This window comes from Homo sapiens, chromosome 8 (assembly GCF_000001405.40).
Source record: "Homo sapiens chromosome 8, GRCh38.p14 Primary Assembly".
In the NCBI taxonomy this organism is placed as follows: Eukaryota; Metazoa; Chordata; class Mammalia; order Primates; family Hominidae; genus Homo; species Homo sapiens.
Window position 1 is genome coordinate 78683932 of NC_000008.11, and position 17949 is coordinate 78701880.

A 17949-nucleotide genomic window follows, 5' to 3' on the forward strand; every position below is an offset into this window, starting at 1 on the left:
CACCTTTGCTCCATTTCCCAGCAAGTTCTTCATCTCCATCTGAGACCACCTTAGCCTGGACTTTGTTGTCCATATCACTATTAGCATTTTGGTCAAAACCATTCAACAAGTTTCTAGGAAGTTCCAAACTTTCCCACATTTTTCTGTCTTCTGAGCCCTCCAAACTGTTTCAGCCTCTGCTCGTTACCCAGTTCCAAAGTTGCTTACACATTTTGGGGTATCTTAATAGCAGTACCCCACTCCACCAGTACCAACTTACTGTATTAGTCCATTTTCATACTGCTATGAAGAAATACCTGAGACTAGGCAATTTATAAAGAAAAAGAGGTGTAACAGACTCAGTTTCACGTGTCTGGGGAGGCCTCACAATCATGGTGGAAGGTGAAGAAGAATCAAAGGCACATCTTACATGATGGCAGGCAAGAGCGTGTGTGCAGGGGAACTGCCCTTTGTAAAACCATCAGATCTCATGAGACTCATTCACTGTCATGAGGACGGCATGGGAGAAACCTGCCCCCGTGATTCAATTACCTCCTACCGAGTACCCCCATAACAGGTGGAGTTTATGGGAGCTACAATTCAAGATGAGATTTGGGTGGGGACACAGCCAAACTATATCAATAGATATTTGAAAAGACTAGATAAAATCATCTTTATTAGAAGATATGATATACCTGGAAAACCCGAGAATTAAGTAAGAAATTACTACAAACAACAGGAGTAAAGGGAAGTAATGTGGTAGGTTACTATGCAAAAATAACTAAGCTTCATATACTCAGCAAACAGGCTCTTGAGACATAGCAATGAGGAAAGGACCCTCTGCAAAAGAACAACACAAAGTATGAAATATTTAGGAATAAGCTTTATAATAAAGATACAAGACTTCCACAAAGTAAAAAAATACTACTGAAAGATAAAAATGAACTGTTTTTCAAATAGAAATATATCCCATATTCTTGTATAGGTAGACTCGACCTAATAAAGATTTTAAGTTTCTCAACTTGTTTATAAATGTGATTCTTAATTTTTAAAAATTAGACAAGTTGATTCAAAAGTTTACATCAAAAAATTTATATACATGAACTAGGAAAAGATTAAAAAAGCTTAATAAAATATTAGCCTATCAGATGTTAAAATATAATGTCTCAATATTGAAAATACTGGTACTAACAAAGGATAGTCAGAACCGTGGAATGGAAGAGAAAGTTCAGAAATAGGCCCAAATTCAGAAAGGAATTTAGTGATTATACAGGTGTTATTTCAATTCTGTTGTGGGGGGACAGGGAGGGGAGAGTCACTAAAGGATAGGACAACTGCATAGCCATGTTAAAAAAATAAGCGAAATTTGATTCAATTTGTCACTCCACACAGCAGAATAAATTCCACATGAATAAAATATTTAGGAAATTTTAATTGAAACTGGAAGTTGTAGAAGGAAGCATGGGAAAATTTTATTTTTCCTTGGTGTGAGGTTGCACCTGGCTAATGCAGATCCAGAGGCCATAAAAGATCAGTAAATTAAACTGTAATTAAAACATAATTATGCATAGTAAAAGACTACCCAAAGACAAGGTCAAAAGACAGATTGTTGGTGGGAGGGAGGGAATAGTTTCCTATAAACAATTACTAGAAATTATTACATTAAAGGCCAATAACTCAACAAATAAGTTGAGCAGGAATATAAATAGTCCACAGTAAAGACAATACATTAAATGATTCTTAGTAATTTAAAAAGGTGCTCAGTCTCAATCATTATAAGAGAAAATCCAATTAAATCCACAAAGTGAGGACTATTTTTCATATTTCTAATCGGTTCAAAACCCAAATGATAGATAATATATTCTGTTAGAGGATCTATGGAAAAACAGGGAAATACACTGTGTTAGTCTCTTTTCTGCTGCTGTAATAGAGTACCACAAACTGGATAATTTATAAAGAAAAGAAATGTATCTCTCACTGTTCTGGAGGTTGGGAAGTCCAGGAGCATAGTGCTAGCATCTGGCGAGGGCCTTCTTGCTGCATAATCCCATGACGGAAGGGCAGGTGTGCATGTGAAACAGAAAGTGGGGTCCAGACTTACTTTTTTATCAGGAACCCACTCCCTCAATAACTAATCTGCTACTGGGATAATGGCATTAATCCATCATGAGGGCGGAACCATAATGACTTAATCACCTTTCAGATGTCCCCACCTCGTACTACTGTTATAATGGCAATTACATTTTAACATGAGTTTTGGAGGGAACATTGAACCACAGCAACAGTCTTAGTGGGAGGATAAATAGATGTAACACCTACAGAAGGCAGTTTAGTAGTGTCTTTCGCGATGACACTTACATTAAGAAATTGAATATAAAATTGCAATGTAGTTGCATAAAGTTTCTCTTTAAAATTATAAATTTGAGAAGGATATCATTTAAGGACTCCTGATAAGAGAACATTTAAAATGATATGGAATTATCTGATGTTTTATTTCAATATACTAAAAAGATACTGTTTGTTTATTTATTTATTTATTTATTTATTTATTTATAGCCAGAACCACCAAAGAAACCATCTAATTGGAGAAGGAAACATGAAGAATTCATTGCTACCATAAGAGCAGCTAAAGGCCTTGATCAGGCCCTCAAAGAGGGTGGCAAACTTCCTCCTCCTCCTCCACCTTCTTATGATCCTGGTATTTGGAATATTGTTGACAGAAATGTTCATGTGGAAAGAAAATAATGATAGAGTTTTTATAAATTTTCACTTGTTAAGCTTAACTTACAATCATGGAGTGTTATGAGGCATAATCTTTAAAATTTGGTGTAAAATGGTGGTGGTAATCTAGTCATGTAGGCTTATAAAGACATTAATTTAGAACATGGAAGTGTATTATGTTTTTATTTTAATACTTTTATTTAAACAAGGCATTATAATATCATTTAAAAATTATTATAGTAACTATTAAATGTGAGTATTCCAGGAAATATTTTAACCATGCTCACTGCGGATTGAAATGTAGTCATTCAGCAGGAGTCATATAATTATGTTGCCTGGTTCCTTGGTATCTTCTCATCTGAGATTGATATAAAAAAAATCATAATTTTCCTAAAATGTATAATTCATGTGGCTCGACTACATTTATGGCTTAAATTTGTATATTGTTAAATTTTTTCTCATTGAGCAGATAAAAGTTGCTTGAGTCATTGTTACTAAAAGCAAAGCAAGATTTTTGCAACCTTGTATGAGATACTGAGATACCGAAAAACTTAAAGTGACAAAGTTGACACTTTGACATTCCTTATTAGAGCAGCCTAAAGAGGTTGTTAATGTAACAGGGTAGCCACATTAATGCTATGTTAGTACTCTAGATTGGGATTTATTTTCTAACAAAGAGAAAGTTCTTTAGCAAATCTAGATATGATCGTTTTTGACATTTTATTGTAGAGGAGAGATATAGTATATCTACAGATATAGTAAATATCTTAGATTTTATATGCCATAAGGTTTCTATTGCAACAAATAAGCCATAGACTATATATACATAATTATATATATATTTATATATAATTATATATGTTTATATAATAAATTATATATATTTATATAATAAATTATATATTTATATAATAAATTTTATATTTACATAATAAATTATATATATTTACGTAATAAATTATATATATTTACATAATACATTATATATATTTACGTAATACATTATATATATATTTACGTAATACATTATATATATTTACGTAATACATTATATATATTTACGTAATACATTATATATATATTTACGTAATACATTATATATATTTATGTAATACATTATATATATTTACGTAAGACATTATATATATATTTACGTAATACATTATATATATTCATGTAATAAATATATATATTCATGTAATAAATTATATATATATTTATATAATATATATCTATATAATAAATATATATTTATATAATAAATTATATATATTTATATAAATATATAATTATTTATATCTATATTTTTATATATAAACTATATCTATATTTATATATAAATATATATAAATTATATATATATAAATATAAAATGAGCATGGCTGTGTTTCCGTAAAACTTCATTTACAAAGACAGGCAACAGGCAGGCTGGATTTGGCCCATGGGCCATACTTTGCGAAACCCTGTTCTAGAGTATTAATAATTAACTTATATGAATGAATGTTTCTGGTATGCTTTAACTGATCCTGGGCCTCTTTTAATACTACCTTTTATTTTCTTCATGAACTTGAGTTTTCTCTCTGCTTTGAAGATATTTAGATATTGTGTCTTAACTCTACATAGCTACATTTCTCATGTCTAATATAAGAGAGTGAGAGGGTACCAGTTCTTCAGGATCGTTTGGGCTTTAGAAGTTTTTTTAATCTTTTGGGCCTGACAAAAACAGCTTATTTCTTTCTTATGAGAGGTTTAAGACCTACTCCAGTAGTAAGGAGGACAAATTTTTGAGCTCAGATGAATATAAATTGAAAAGGGCAAACTCTGTATCAAAAAAGTAAACCTGTTAAAATAAGTTGTAAACCTGTTAAATTAAGATTCTTTTTTGACACTACCAGATTTTTACATTTATTCCCAGTGTCTCATTTAGTTATTTTACAATGCTACAAAATATGGTTCTGGAATAATTTCAAAAGAAGTTTAATTTACAGTATGCTTTGCATTTTGGGAAGATATTTTATCTTGGAAACATTTGCTGTTTCTTAAATTTGAATTATGTCAGTGAGATATATTTTAATCACTTCTTCCATCTGTTGGGACTTTTAAGAGAAAATAGCACTTTAAAGATAAGTAAACTATTTCTTGACAGTTTTCCATTTGATGAAATAAAAAATTTTAATAGATGAGCCTGTATTTTAAAATGTATTTTAACGTCATGTATTATTACTTCCTAACTAGTCTGCTATATAAAGTATGTATCCATTATAAATGAAAACATAAAGGCAAAAAAGAAATAACGTTTTTCCTCTGCTTACTCTTTTGTACTAAGGATTTATCTTTTGTTTTTTTTCCTTCACACATTTGATTCAAAGCTAGAAGAAAATTGGAAGTCATGTACCAGCAGACTTTTTTTTTTTTTAACTCTTTACTAAGTTTAGACAAGTAAAACTGGGTAGTTATAAGGATATGGGAATTTTTGCTTATCAGATGTTATTACTTATATTTTTTGAATGACTGCATAGAAACTTAAGATTTTTTAATGTCCGTTTCAAGTACTATGCTATTAATCTGTTTCCGTTTTTATCTGTTATAGATTATATTCAATGTCCATATTGTCAGAGGAGATTCAATGAAAATGCAGCTGATAGACATATAAATTTCTGTAAAGAACAGGCAGCACGTATTAGTAATAAAGGGAAATTTTCTACAGATACCAAAGGAAAACCAACTTCTCGGACACAGGTGGTAAGTTCAGTTTTAATAATTGCTATAAACGAGAAAATGGCTCATGGACATTCATAGATTATTGTTTATGCTTTTCATGACATTAGACTATATTTTTCTCACCTGCTTTTATAGATATATAGTTTTATATATCTATAAAAGTTGTATGCTTTTAGCTCTTATATCTGTAAATCATTTCAAGCTAATTGTGTATAGTGTGAAGGGGCAATTGTTCCCTTTTTCTATGTGGATATTCTATTGTCTTAGCACGTTTTGTATATATAAAATATATAAAAACATTATATATATGTATACATGTTTTTAGATTATCGAGTGAAAGACCTTGTTACATATTCTTGGTCTTTTCTCAGATGTATATTAAGAATATTTTCTCCCATCCTGTGACTTGGCTTTCCATTTTCTTAAGGATGTCTTTTGAGGGGCAAAAATTTTAAAATGTGATTAAGTCCAATTTATTAATTCTTTATGATTTATGCTCCTTATCTTGTATCAAAGAAATCTTTGCCTATACTAGGATTGCAAAGATTTTTCTCCCATGTCTTCTATAAGTTTTATGCTTTTAGCTCTTACATCTGTAAATCACTTCAGGCTGGTATTTGTGTATAGTGTGAAGTAAGGGGCAGTTTTTCCTTTTGTTTTCTATGTGGATATTCTATTGTTTTAGCACGATTTGTTTAAAGGACTTTTCTTTCCCTGATGAATTGCTGAGGCACCTTGGTTGGAAATCAGATGAATATAAATGTATGGGTTTATTTCAGGACATGCTGTTCTGTTCCATTGATTTATATCCCTGTCCTTTAGTCAATACCGCATTATCACTATACTGAATAGTGAACCTTAATAAGCCTTAAAATCAAGTAGTCTAAATTTTCCTACTTGAATTCCTTTTAAAATTTTCTTTGGCAGCCGGGTGCAGTGGCTCCCGCCTTTAATCCCAGCACTTTGGGAGGCCAAGGCGGGCAGATCACGATTGTCAGGAGATAAAGACCATCCTGGCTAACACGGTGAAACCCCGTCTCTAATAAAAATACAAAAAATTAGCTGGACGTGGTGGCGGGCGCCTGTAGTCCCAGCTACTTGGGAGGCTGAGGCAGGAGAATGGTGTGAACCTGGGAGGAGGAGCTTGCAGTGAGCCTAGATCATGCCACTGCACTCCAGCTTGGGCGACAGAGCAAGAGACTGTCTCAAAAAAAAAAAAAAAACTTTGGCCATTCTTGATTTACATTTATATATACATTTTATAATTGACTTGTCAACATCTACAAAAAATGACTTCTAGCATTTGAGATTATATTAAATTCATAAATCAATTTGAGAAGAATTGACATTTTAACAATATTGAGTTGTTCAGTTCATGAACCTGTTATATTTTCTGATCATTTAGGTTTTATTTTAGCAGTGTTTTGTAGTGTATATTATATAGGTCATACACATGTTTTGTTAGATTTTCCAAGTATATCATGTATTTGGATGATCTTGTAAATGGAATTTTATTTTATTTCATTTTTAGTTGTTTTTTGCTTGTTTAGAAAAACTGGATTTTTGTATATTAATCTTATACCCTGCTATTTTCCTAAATTCATTTACTAATAATAGTCTTCTTGTAGATTTCTTAGGACTTTTCTATGTATACAGTCATGTCACCTATAAATAAGGACAGTTTTATTTTCTTCCCTCCAACCTTTTGGCTTTTATTTCTTTTTTGTGATTTACTGCATGGGCTAGACTAATGTTGAATAGAGGTGATGACAGTGGACCTCCTTGCCTTGTTTTTCTGTTCTTAGGTGAAAAGCATTGTTTTTCACCATTGTGTATGATGTTCCATCAATTACTGAGGGAAATATGTTAAAATTATGACTTTTCTTACATTTCTCTTTAGTTTTGCCAGCTTTTAATTCAAAATTTTGAAGTTCTCTTATTGTTTGCATAGCATTTATAAATTGTTACATCTTCCCCATTTATTGGCACTTTTATCATTATAAATTGTTCCTTTTTGTCTGTGGCAATATTTGTTGTGTTGCAGTATGTTTCATGTGATAAGAATATAGCCATTTTAACATAATTATGCTCACTTCTTTTCTCTCTATTCCTTATATATGTGTTTTTGCATTGCTATAATTGGTTTTTGTATTTCTTTTTTTAAAATCAAATCTAGTAACTTCATCTTGTTGGTCAAAATTGCCTGTCATTTACATTTGGTGCAATTATTGATTTGCTTATGTTTAGGTCTGCCATCTGTTTTCTCCTTTTGTAATTTTTTTAAAAATTCACCATTTCTTTTCCCTTTTGTCTTCATAAGATTTCATTTTCTTTTTTGGCTTTCTAGCTGTAATTCTTTGCATTTTTGAAAAGTGATTGCTCTAGGAATAAAAAATGCATCTTTGACTTACCCATATCTATGGATATTTTTATTTACCTCTGACAGGTTTGTGCTATTGTTTCATATATGTAACTCTAGATATTATAGGCCTATCAGTACTCTTGATGTGTATTGTTATACTTACTGCCTTATTTATATATTTATTGAAATTGTAAACGTGCAGATTATAGATGTATATATTTATGGGGTACAAAGTGATACCATGATTCATGGATACAATGTGCAATGACTAAATCAAGCTAATTAACATACTATCACCTCAAGTACTTACCATTTTTTGTGGTAAGAACATTTGAAAATTTTTTCTCTTTGCAATTTTGAAAGGTATAATACATTATCATTTACTGTATTCACCATGCTATGCAGTATATCTCAAAATAAAAACCACAACAAAAACTTACCCCTTTGACCATCATCATCATCTCCTTGTTCTTTCTTCCCTTTCCCCCTCCCTTTAGCCTCTGGTACTACCATTCAGTTCTCTGCTGCTTAGAGTTCCATTGTTTTAGATTCTACATGTAAGTGAGTACATGTGGTATTCACATGCCTGTGCCTGGCTTAATTTCTCCAATTCCAATCCCTATAGTTCAGTCTTATTTATTATTACTATTTTTTAATCCTTAACTACTAAATCTGCCACCTGTGGTCATTTGCAGTTAGTTTCTGTTGACTTGACATTTTTGCTAAATATGGATCATGTTTTCTCTTTCTTTGCTGGTAATGTTTGGTTGAAAACTAGACATGACATGGTAGGTAATATATAACAATTTCTGTTTTGTTCTTTTGCAAAGTGTTTTTACTTTCTTTCCTTTTTTAGGAGGGGAGCAGTAAGGAGGTCTAAGTGTAGGTGGTTAAATCCAGGGTGTACAGTGTAGGTTTTCCAGTGGTTTCCAGTAATCTTTTTGTTGTAATTGCTGCTACCTGTAGGATGGTTATATAGCCACTTCACCCCTCCAACATTGAGCTTCTAATTTGTTTTTTTTATTATTAGTAGTATACTTTAGTTTTAGGGTACATGTACACAACGTGCAGGTTTGTTACATACGTGTACATATGCCATGTTGGTGTGCTGCACCCATTAACTCGTCATTTACATGGAGTATATCTCCTAATGCTATCCCTCCCCACTCCCCCCACCCCACAACAGGCCCTGGGGTGTGATGTTCCCTTTCCTGTGTCCAAGTGCTCTCATTGTTCAATTCCCACCTATGAGTGAGAACATGCGGTGTTTGGTTTTTTGTCCTTGTGATAGTTTGCTGAGAATGATGGTTTCCAGCTTCATCCATGTCCCTACAAAGGACATGAACTCATCATTTTTTATGGCTGCATAGTATTCCATGGTGTATATGTGCCACATTTTCTTAATCCAGTCTATCATTGTTGGACATTTGGGTTGGTTCCAAGTCTTTGCTATTGTGAATAGTGCCGCAATAAACATACGTGTTTATGTGTCTTTATAGCAGCATGATTTATAGTCCTTTGGGTATATACCCAGTAATGGGATGGCTGGGTCAAATGGTATTTCTAGTTCTAGATCCCTGAGGAATCACCACACTGACTTCCACAATGGTTGAACTAGTTTACAGTCCCACCAACAGTGTAAAAGTGTTCCTATTTCTCCACATCCTCTCCAGCACCTGTTGTTTCCTGATTTTTTAATTATCGCCATTCTAACTGGTGTGAGATGGTATCTCATTGTGGTTTTGATTTGCATTTCTCTGATGGCCAGTAATGATGAACATTTTTTCATGTGTCTTTTGGCCGCATAAATGTCTTCTTTTGAGAAGTGTCTGTTCATATCCTTTGCCCACTTTTTGATGGGGTTGTTTGTTTTTTTCTTGTAAATTTGTTGGAGTTCATTGTAGATTCTGGATATTAGCCCTTTGTCAGATGAGTAGATTGCAAAAATTTTCTCCCATTCTGTAGGTTGCCTGTTCGCTCTGATGGTAGTTTCTTCTGCTGTGCAGAAGCTCTTTAGTTGAATTAGATCCCATTTGTCAATTTTGGCTTTTGTTGCCATTGCTTTTGGTGTTTTAGACATGAAGTCCTTGCCCATGCCTGTGTCCTGAATGGTATTGCCTAGGTTTTCTTCTAGGGTTTTTATAGTTTTAGGTCTAACACTTAAGTCTTTAATCCATCTTGAATTAATTTTTGTGTAAGGTATAAGGAAGGGATCCAGTTTCAGCTTTCTACATATGGCTAGCCAGTTTTCCCAGCACCATTTATTAAATAGGGAATCCTTTCCACATTTCTTGTTTTTGTCAGGTTTGTCAAAGATCAGATAGTTGTAGATGTGTGACATTATTTCTGAGTGCTCAGTTCTGTTCCATTGGTCTATATCTCTGTTTTGTGTTTTTAATTTCTTGCAGTTGGCTGGCTATTTTTCTAATTTCCTATTTTTTATAGTTTGCAATTTTCCATTAATATTTTCATAGTTGTCTGCTATTTCTTTAAATGTAGTACTCATAGTTGTTTGTAATGTGTGTCTGATAATTATAGCAATATCAAGTGACTTGTATGGATATGTTCCTTGTTTTTTTTTTTTTCTCATTCAGTTTCCTTATATCCTTATTTCCCTGATTATTATTGACCTTTGCTGCTTGTTACAAGTAAAACGGTATTCATGATTATCATTCATGCCTTCTTCCAGAGAAGATGTGTGCTGTGCTTATTCCTTTTAGGTATCTATGAGTCTTATCAGTCTGGAAACATTTGAAATTAAATTATTGGCTTAGTTTGCTTGACCAGCCTAATAATGCAAATTTATACAGCAAATCCATGTGATGTTCAGGTCGTTATTACAATTCCATATGGTTTGGCCTGGAAATTTCTTTTCCTCTCATTTGACATTCAGTGCTTTTACAATGATTTTTTATTCTTTCCTGAGCATTTTTAGTTGTTAATTGAAAGGTTGGTCTAAATAGTAAGTTCTACCATTTTGTCAGAAATGGATGTCCTACAAGTTCTTTAGACTTTTTCCAATTTCATTAGTCATTAGTCTTTGTATAAATATTTTTGTAAGGAAATGTATGAGATTTGTGAGCAGCATAAAAACACAAAATAATAATTACCAAATAATAATGAATGAAAGAAATACGTTGAATGTAATTGTATAAAATCATTTCATTCTCCTGGTCATTAAAATGGATTTATACAAAATTGTTGGTTGATAGAGTCATTCTGAAAGTCTTCATAATAGCACACAAAACCGTTGATTGATAGAGTCATTCTGAAAGTCTTTATATACCAGTAGACTTTCAGCTTGATGTTGTAGAATAGATAGAATATAGCTCAGAAAGGAAGGAGTCAGATTATCTAGGTCAGGGAAAACAGCAAGATACCGAGGGGGAGGTGAATAATGTTTTAAACAAGCAGTTTTCGGAAAGGAAACTAACCTGACTAGTTCTTGTCTAAAGTAATGGGAAATATTATAGGATATAAGTAAGGTTGTTCTAGGTTCTGAATAGCTCAGAAAACTCAACAATAAAATTTAGTAAAATAGTGGGAAGTCTTATATAGAGAGGGAGAAAGCAAAACATTTTTTGGAGACATGTTCTGCCTAAGTATTTGGAAGCCATTAAGTTGTTAATAATTCCTATTATATACATAAAAATCTTTAGTCTCCATTATGTAATGCTACCAGGAACCTTTCTGCCTGTTTCCTGCCTAAAGACTTGACCTCTCAATATGTAATAGGCCACATCAGCGCACTTTGTTTATGCTAATCATTTTGCTCTTTTTTGATTGTACAGTTTGAGTGGGTCAGCAGTCTTGTTTCCTAATCTGATTTTATTAACTCTGTTTTTATAGACATAACTCTCGTAGTTTAACAAATTTTTGTTAGAGCTTGTTTTCCCTATTGCTATAATTTTAAGTCTTTTCTAATGTCTGTCTTTCTCTCTCTATATATATATAGTGGCCCAGATGCCCTTTTAAACCAGAAGCACCTCTAAGGTTTTAAAAAATCAGTATCATTATATGGTTCATCTCCCAAAGTCTCATAGACATTTGTTAATTTGAAAGACATTTACTGAAGGTTTTGGTTTTCTATTTTTCAGGTGCTGGCATAATACTGCAAAACGTGAATGCTACTTTTTTTGTGTGACCGTTTATCAAGATTTAACTTTTTAAAAATTCACATACAGAGTTAGAAGGATATAATGTTTGACTTCAAAATTGGTTTTAGCTAGCTATTTTTGGTAGTAGTGCATCTTAAATTTTATATTGATTATTGGTTATAAAATATGATTTGATTTTTGAAAATGATAATTTAAAACCAATTTTTCTTTCTTTTTTTTTTGAGACGGAGTCTTGCTCTGTTGCCAGGCTAGAGTGCAGTGGCGTGATCTCGGCTCACTGCAAGCTCCGCCTCCTGGGTTCACGCCATTCTCCTGCCTCAGCCTCCTGAGTAGCTGGGACTACAGGCGCCCGCTACCACGCCCGGCTAATTTTTTGTATTTTTAGTAGAGACGGGGTTTCACTGTGTTAGCCAGGATGGTCTCGATCTCCTGACCTTGTGATCCACCTGCCTCGGCCTTCCAAAGTGCTGGGATTACAGGCATGAGCCACCGTGCCCAGCCCGTTAAAACCAATTTTTCACATGAAATCTTGATACCGTATTGGGCTACATTCCAAGCACATATGCAAGTATGATTTTCACCTTATGGTTGAAGCATTGGGCTAGAACCAGCATGAGTCTAAATTCCTGCTCTGCTGTGAAGTTGGGGCATAACCCTGGGCAAGTTCATTTCTTGCTATTGAAGCAGGTGATCAGTAAGATACTTTTATTGTCAGGTAACTGAGCAAAATTTGGCTCAAAAAGAGAAAGTAAAATAAAATTAATAAAGATGTCTCTTTAGAGGAGTAGAGAAATATAAAAATCCAAGATAAGCTGAAAGATCTTAGGTCAATGCATACTCCATTAATTTAAGATGGTCTGGTGAGGATCGTGAAGCCAGAATTAGCTCTTTCTCTTCATATCAGGGAAATCCATAATGCAGCTGTTGTAAAACTTGTTCAGGTCCTAGGTCATCTTACGGTTTTTATCAGTAGGAAATATGGCTGAATTATATATATGGAATATAAAAACACATCCAGGAACATATAAAAATCTTGACCTTTAAAGCTGCACCATAGCTGTTTCTAAGTTTTTCTACTAATGTTTGTTTGGTGTTTAAAATCTTAACTTTGAGGAAGTTTTTTCCGTTAGACCTTTTTTTCTTTTTCCTGTGAACTGAAAAAGTTGCTGTTAGTTTGTTTTAGCAGTGGAGCATCTGAGAGGGAGTCTAGTTTGGAAAACCTTTGAGGTGATATATTTTAATCTATACTTCCTCAATTTGTATAATTCAGTAGAAAAGACTGTTCATTTAAGGGAATGTGAGCTGTTTCTTTCCAATTATTTTTTTACTGTGGTATAATACATGTAGCATAAACTTTACCATCTTAATCGTTTTTAAGAATACAATTCAGTGTATACTTACAAGTGTTTTAATACATTAATGATGTGCAACCATCATCACCATTCATTTCCACAACTCTTTTCATCTTGTAAGGCTGAAATCCTAAACCCAAAGAATGTTAAGTTTTGAACCACTACTTTACAATCCATAATCAAAAAGTGATGTTGATTAATATTTTTTTTCCATTATTTTAGTATAAGCCACCCGCACTTAAAAAGTCAAATTCTCCTGGAACTGCATCATCAGGATCTTCACGATTACCGCAGCCAAGTGGCGCTGGCAAAACTGTTGTAGGTAATGATAGCCGAAAAGCAACTTGATTTGTTTTTGAAACCATGTTGGCAGAGCAGGAAATAAAGATAGTGGTCTATTCTGGAATATTAAGATAGATTTATAATTAAGAAGAGATGTAGAAGTTAAGTAATTATTTTTTAAAATAAGATAACTTTGAGTAGTTTCTACTTTTAACCTTTTTTTTTTTTTTTTGACGGAGTCTTGCTCTGTTGCCCAGGTTTGAGTGCAGTGGTGGAATCTCAGCTCACTGCAACCTTCGCCTCCCAGGTTCAAATGATTCTCCTGCCTTAGCCTCCCGAGTAGCTGGGACTATAGGCGGGTGCCACCATGCCCACCTAATTTTTTGTATTTTTAATAGAGATGGGGTTTCACCAAGTTAGCCAGGATAATCTCTATCTCCTGAACTCGTGATCCCCCAACCTGAGCCTCCTAAAGTGCTGAGATTACTGGCGTGAGCCACCGTGGTGCCGAGCCACTTTTTTGTTGTTTTTTTCAGCTTAAATGTTGGCCCCAGATGTTGTTATTGATGTCATCTGTTCAGAATAGTCAGCCCAGTACTTCCTTGATTCTTTGATCCAGCATTTTCCTCTCATTTTATGCTAGCTCTTCATAGCTTTCTGAACTGGGCAATTGTTCGTAGTAGTCAAACACTTAATAGTTAGAAGAAGATATTGACCACTGACATGTACCTTTATTTATATATCAATTATAAGAGGGACATTTAGAAACTAGAAATGAAGGATGCTATATGTCGTCCTCTGGAAATGCCATTTAAAAAATGTCTTCAATGAAAACTTGATTTATAGTTGCAAAGATTATTACTAAAGCATTGTTTCCTTTGTTAGATGCTCTGTTTTATGTAACCTTTTTTAGAGTATTGTTAAAAATAATGCTTTTTTATTATAAGGTGTTCCTTCAGGTAAAGTGTCTTCAAGTAGCAGCTCTTTGGGAAACAAACTTCAGACCTTATCTCCCTCTCATAAAGGGATAGCAGCCCCTCATGCAGGGTAAGTCTACACTGGATATAATTATTAGTGGTATATAATTAAACGATACTAAGGTTTTGTTATGTTTTGATAATTGCTTTTTCATTCATCTTCATTTCCTAAGTTCATTTGTCTTTTAACATTTTGCTGGTCAGGAGCACACTCACTGCTGTTGAGTATCTAAATTTGTATAACCATTTTAGAAAATAATCTGGTATTAAAAGCCTTAGAAATCATAGCTTAAATTGAATAATTTTACTTCTGGGAATTTAGTCTAAGGAAATAATTTGAAATGTTGACGATTTTTATACTAACTATAATTTACTAAGCACTATGTATCAGGCACTGTGCTAGACATTTTGCATATATTTTTGTTAAAACCACTTCATAATCAAGAGAAAAGAAGATCAGAGAAGCTCAGTTTGCTCAAAGCCACATAGCTGTTAAAGTTAGACGCAATATATAAATTGGGATATCTTTGACTGTAAACACTGGACTCTTTTCACGTTTTTATTATAATGTTAGAAATAAATAAAATCACCAAAATGTCTAGCTTTGTTTGAATAGTAAATTATGAAAATCTATAAAGGGATATTTTGCAACTATAGTATGTATATAAATTTTAATAAGGTGATTCTGTTAGGAAAATGTTAGCTACTGAACTCCATGTGTAGTATGATAGAAGCAGTGGGGTGATTCTCTTAATTTAATCCTTTTTTATATTTTTCTACTGTTATATTTACATGGCTTTTAATGAAGTATATAATTAAACTTTCAATAGTTATGGGAAAAATTGTAACAGTGGAGATATTAATATAGAGCCATATATTTTTAGAAATTTACTTATTTTTTATTTTGATAAATCAGAAAATTAAGGGATTACCACAGGACCATTAGAATGAAGGTGTATGTCTATATCTTTACATATACTGGTTCAGTTGATTAATGAAATACAGCACACATTATTTTCTTTTTTTAATTTTAACTTTTAAGTTCAGGGATACAAGTGCAGGTTTGTTACATAGGTAAACTTGTGTCATAGGGAGTTTGTTGTATGCATTATTTCATCATCCAGGTATTAAGCCTAGTACCCATCAGTTATTTTTCCTGATTCTCTCTCTCCTCTTATCCTCCACCCTCCAAAAGACTCCAGTACGTGTTGTTCCCCTCTATGTGTCCATGTAGTCTCATAATTTAGCTTCCACTTATAAGTGAGAACATGCAGTATTTGGTTTTCTGTTCCTGTGTTAGTTTCCTAAGGATAATGGCCTCCAGCTCCATTCATGTCCCTCCTAAGGACATGATCTAATTCCTTTTTATGGCTGCATAGTATTCCATGGTGTTTATGTACTATATTTTCTTTATCCAGTATATCATTGATGGACATTTAGGTTGATTCCATGTCTTCAGTATTATGAATAGTGCTGCAGTGAACATATGTGTGTGTCTTTATAATAGAATGATATATATTCTTCTGGGTATATACTCAGTAATGGGATTGCTGGGGGAAATGGTAGTTCTGTCTTTAGGTCTTTGAGGAATTGCCACACTGTCTTTCACAGTGGCTGAAGTAATTTACATTCCCACCAGCAATGTATAAGCATTCCTTTTTTCTCCACAACCTCACCAGTGTCTGTTATTTTTTGTCTTTTTAACAGCAGCCATTCTGACTAGTGTGAGATAATACCTCATTGTGGTTTTGATTTGCGTTTCTCTAATGATCAGTGATGTTGAGCTTTTTTTCATATGACAGTTGACCGCATGTATGTCTTCTTTTGAAAAGTGTCTGTTCATGTCTGTTGTCCACTTTTTAATGGGATTGTTTGTTTTTTTTCTTGTAAGTTTCTTTTTTTCTTGTAAGTTTGTTTTTTTCTTGTAAGTTTGTTTGTTAAATTATAGATGCTGGGTATTAGACTTTTGTTGGATGCATAATTTGCAAATATTTGCTCCCATTCTGTAGGTTGTCTGTTTACTCTGTTGATAGTTTCTTTTGCTATGCAGAAACTCTTTAGTTTAATTACAGCCCATTTGTCAATTTGTGTTTTTGTTGCAATTGCTTTTGGCATCTTCATTATAAAATCTTTGCTGCTGCCTGTGCCCTGAATGGTATTGGCTAGGTTGTCTTCCAGGGTTTTTATAGTTTTTGGTTTTACATTAGTCTTTAATCCATCTTGTGTTAATTTTTGTATATGGTGGAAGGAAGGGATCCAGTTTCAGTCTTCTGCATATTGCTAGCCAATTATCCCAGCACCTTTTATTAAATAGGGAATCCTTTTTCCATTGCTTATTTTTGTCAGGTTTGTCAAATATCAGATAGTAGTAGGTGTGTGGTCTTACTTCTGGGCTTGCTATTCTGTTCCACTGGTCCATGTTCCAGTACCATGCTGTTTTGATTACTGTAGCCCTGTAGTATAGCTGGAAGTCAGGCAGCATGATGCCTCCAGCATTGTTCTTTTTGCTTAGAATTACCTTGGCTAGTTTGACTCATTTTTTATTCTATATTAATGTTGAAATAGTTTTCTCTGGTTCTGTGAAGAATGTCACTGATAGTTTAATGGGAATAGCATTGAATCTATAAATTGCTTTAGGCAGTATCACCATTTTAACAATATTGATTCTCCCTATCCATGAGCATGGAATATTTTTTCATTTATTTGTGTCATCTTTAATTTCTTTGAGCATTGGCTTGTAGTCCTCCTTGTATAGATCTTTCACCTCCCCAGTTACCTGTATTCTTAGGTATTTTATTCTTTTTGTGGCAATTGTGAATGGGAGTTTGTTCCTGATTTGGCTCTCTGCTTAGCTGTTATTAGTGTATAGGAATGCTAGTGATTTTTGCACATTGATTTTAGAATCCTGAGACTTTGCTAAAGTTGCTTATCAGGTTAAGAAGCTTTTGGGCTGATATAATGGGGTTTTCTAGATACATGATCATGTCATCTGCCAGCAGGGATAGTTTGACTTCCTCTCTTCCTATTTGGATGCCCCTTTATTTCTTTCTCTTGCCTGATTGCACTGGCCAGAACTTCCAAAACTATGTTGAATAGGAGTGGTGAGAAAGGGCATCTTTGTCTTGTGCCAGTTTTCAAGGGGAATGCTTCCAGCTTTTTCCCATTCAGTATGATGTTGGCTGTGGATTCGTCATAAGTGGCTAATATTTTGAGGTATGTTCCTGCAATACCTAGTTTATTGAGAGTTTTTAACGTGAAGGGATGTTGAATTTTATTGAAAACCTTTTCGTCATCTATTAAGATAATCATGTGCTTTTTGTCTTTAATTTTGTTGTGATGAATAGCATTTATTGATTTGCATATGCGGAGTCAACCTTGCATCCCAGGGATGAAGCCTACTTGATCCTGGTGGATAAGCTTGTTGATGTGCTGCTGGA

The 17949-nt window shown here is 33.4% G+C and overlaps 2 protein-coding genes across 5 annotated transcripts in view; one reads left to right on the forward strand and one right to left on the reverse strand.

Annotated features, from left to right (window-relative positions):
* The window catches only part of ZC2HC1A (zinc finger C2HC-type containing 1A), a 53677-nt gene that overhangs the window by 17843 nt on the left and 17885 nt on the right, over window positions 1-17949 (forward strand). For all 4 annotated transcript variants that reach the window (NR_156423.2, NM_001362969.2, NM_016010.3 and 1 more), the window contains exons 4-7: window positions 2536-2677; window positions 5291-5442; window positions 13476-13575; window positions 14483-14582. Coding sequence is in view for 3 of the 4 variants with exons in the window: in NM_001362969.2 (NP_001349898.1) it covers window positions 2536-2677; window positions 5291-5442; window positions 13476-13575; window positions 14483-14582 (494 nt within the window). In the remaining variant the exon portion in view is untranslated. The remainder of the gene's footprint in view (window positions 1-2535; window positions 2678-5290; window positions 5443-13475; window positions 13576-14482; window positions 14583-17949) is intronic.
* IL7 (interleukin 7) overlaps window positions 1-17949 on the reverse strand; it is a 130420-nt gene that overhangs the window by 8888 nt on the left and 103583 nt on the right. The window lies entirely within an intron of this gene.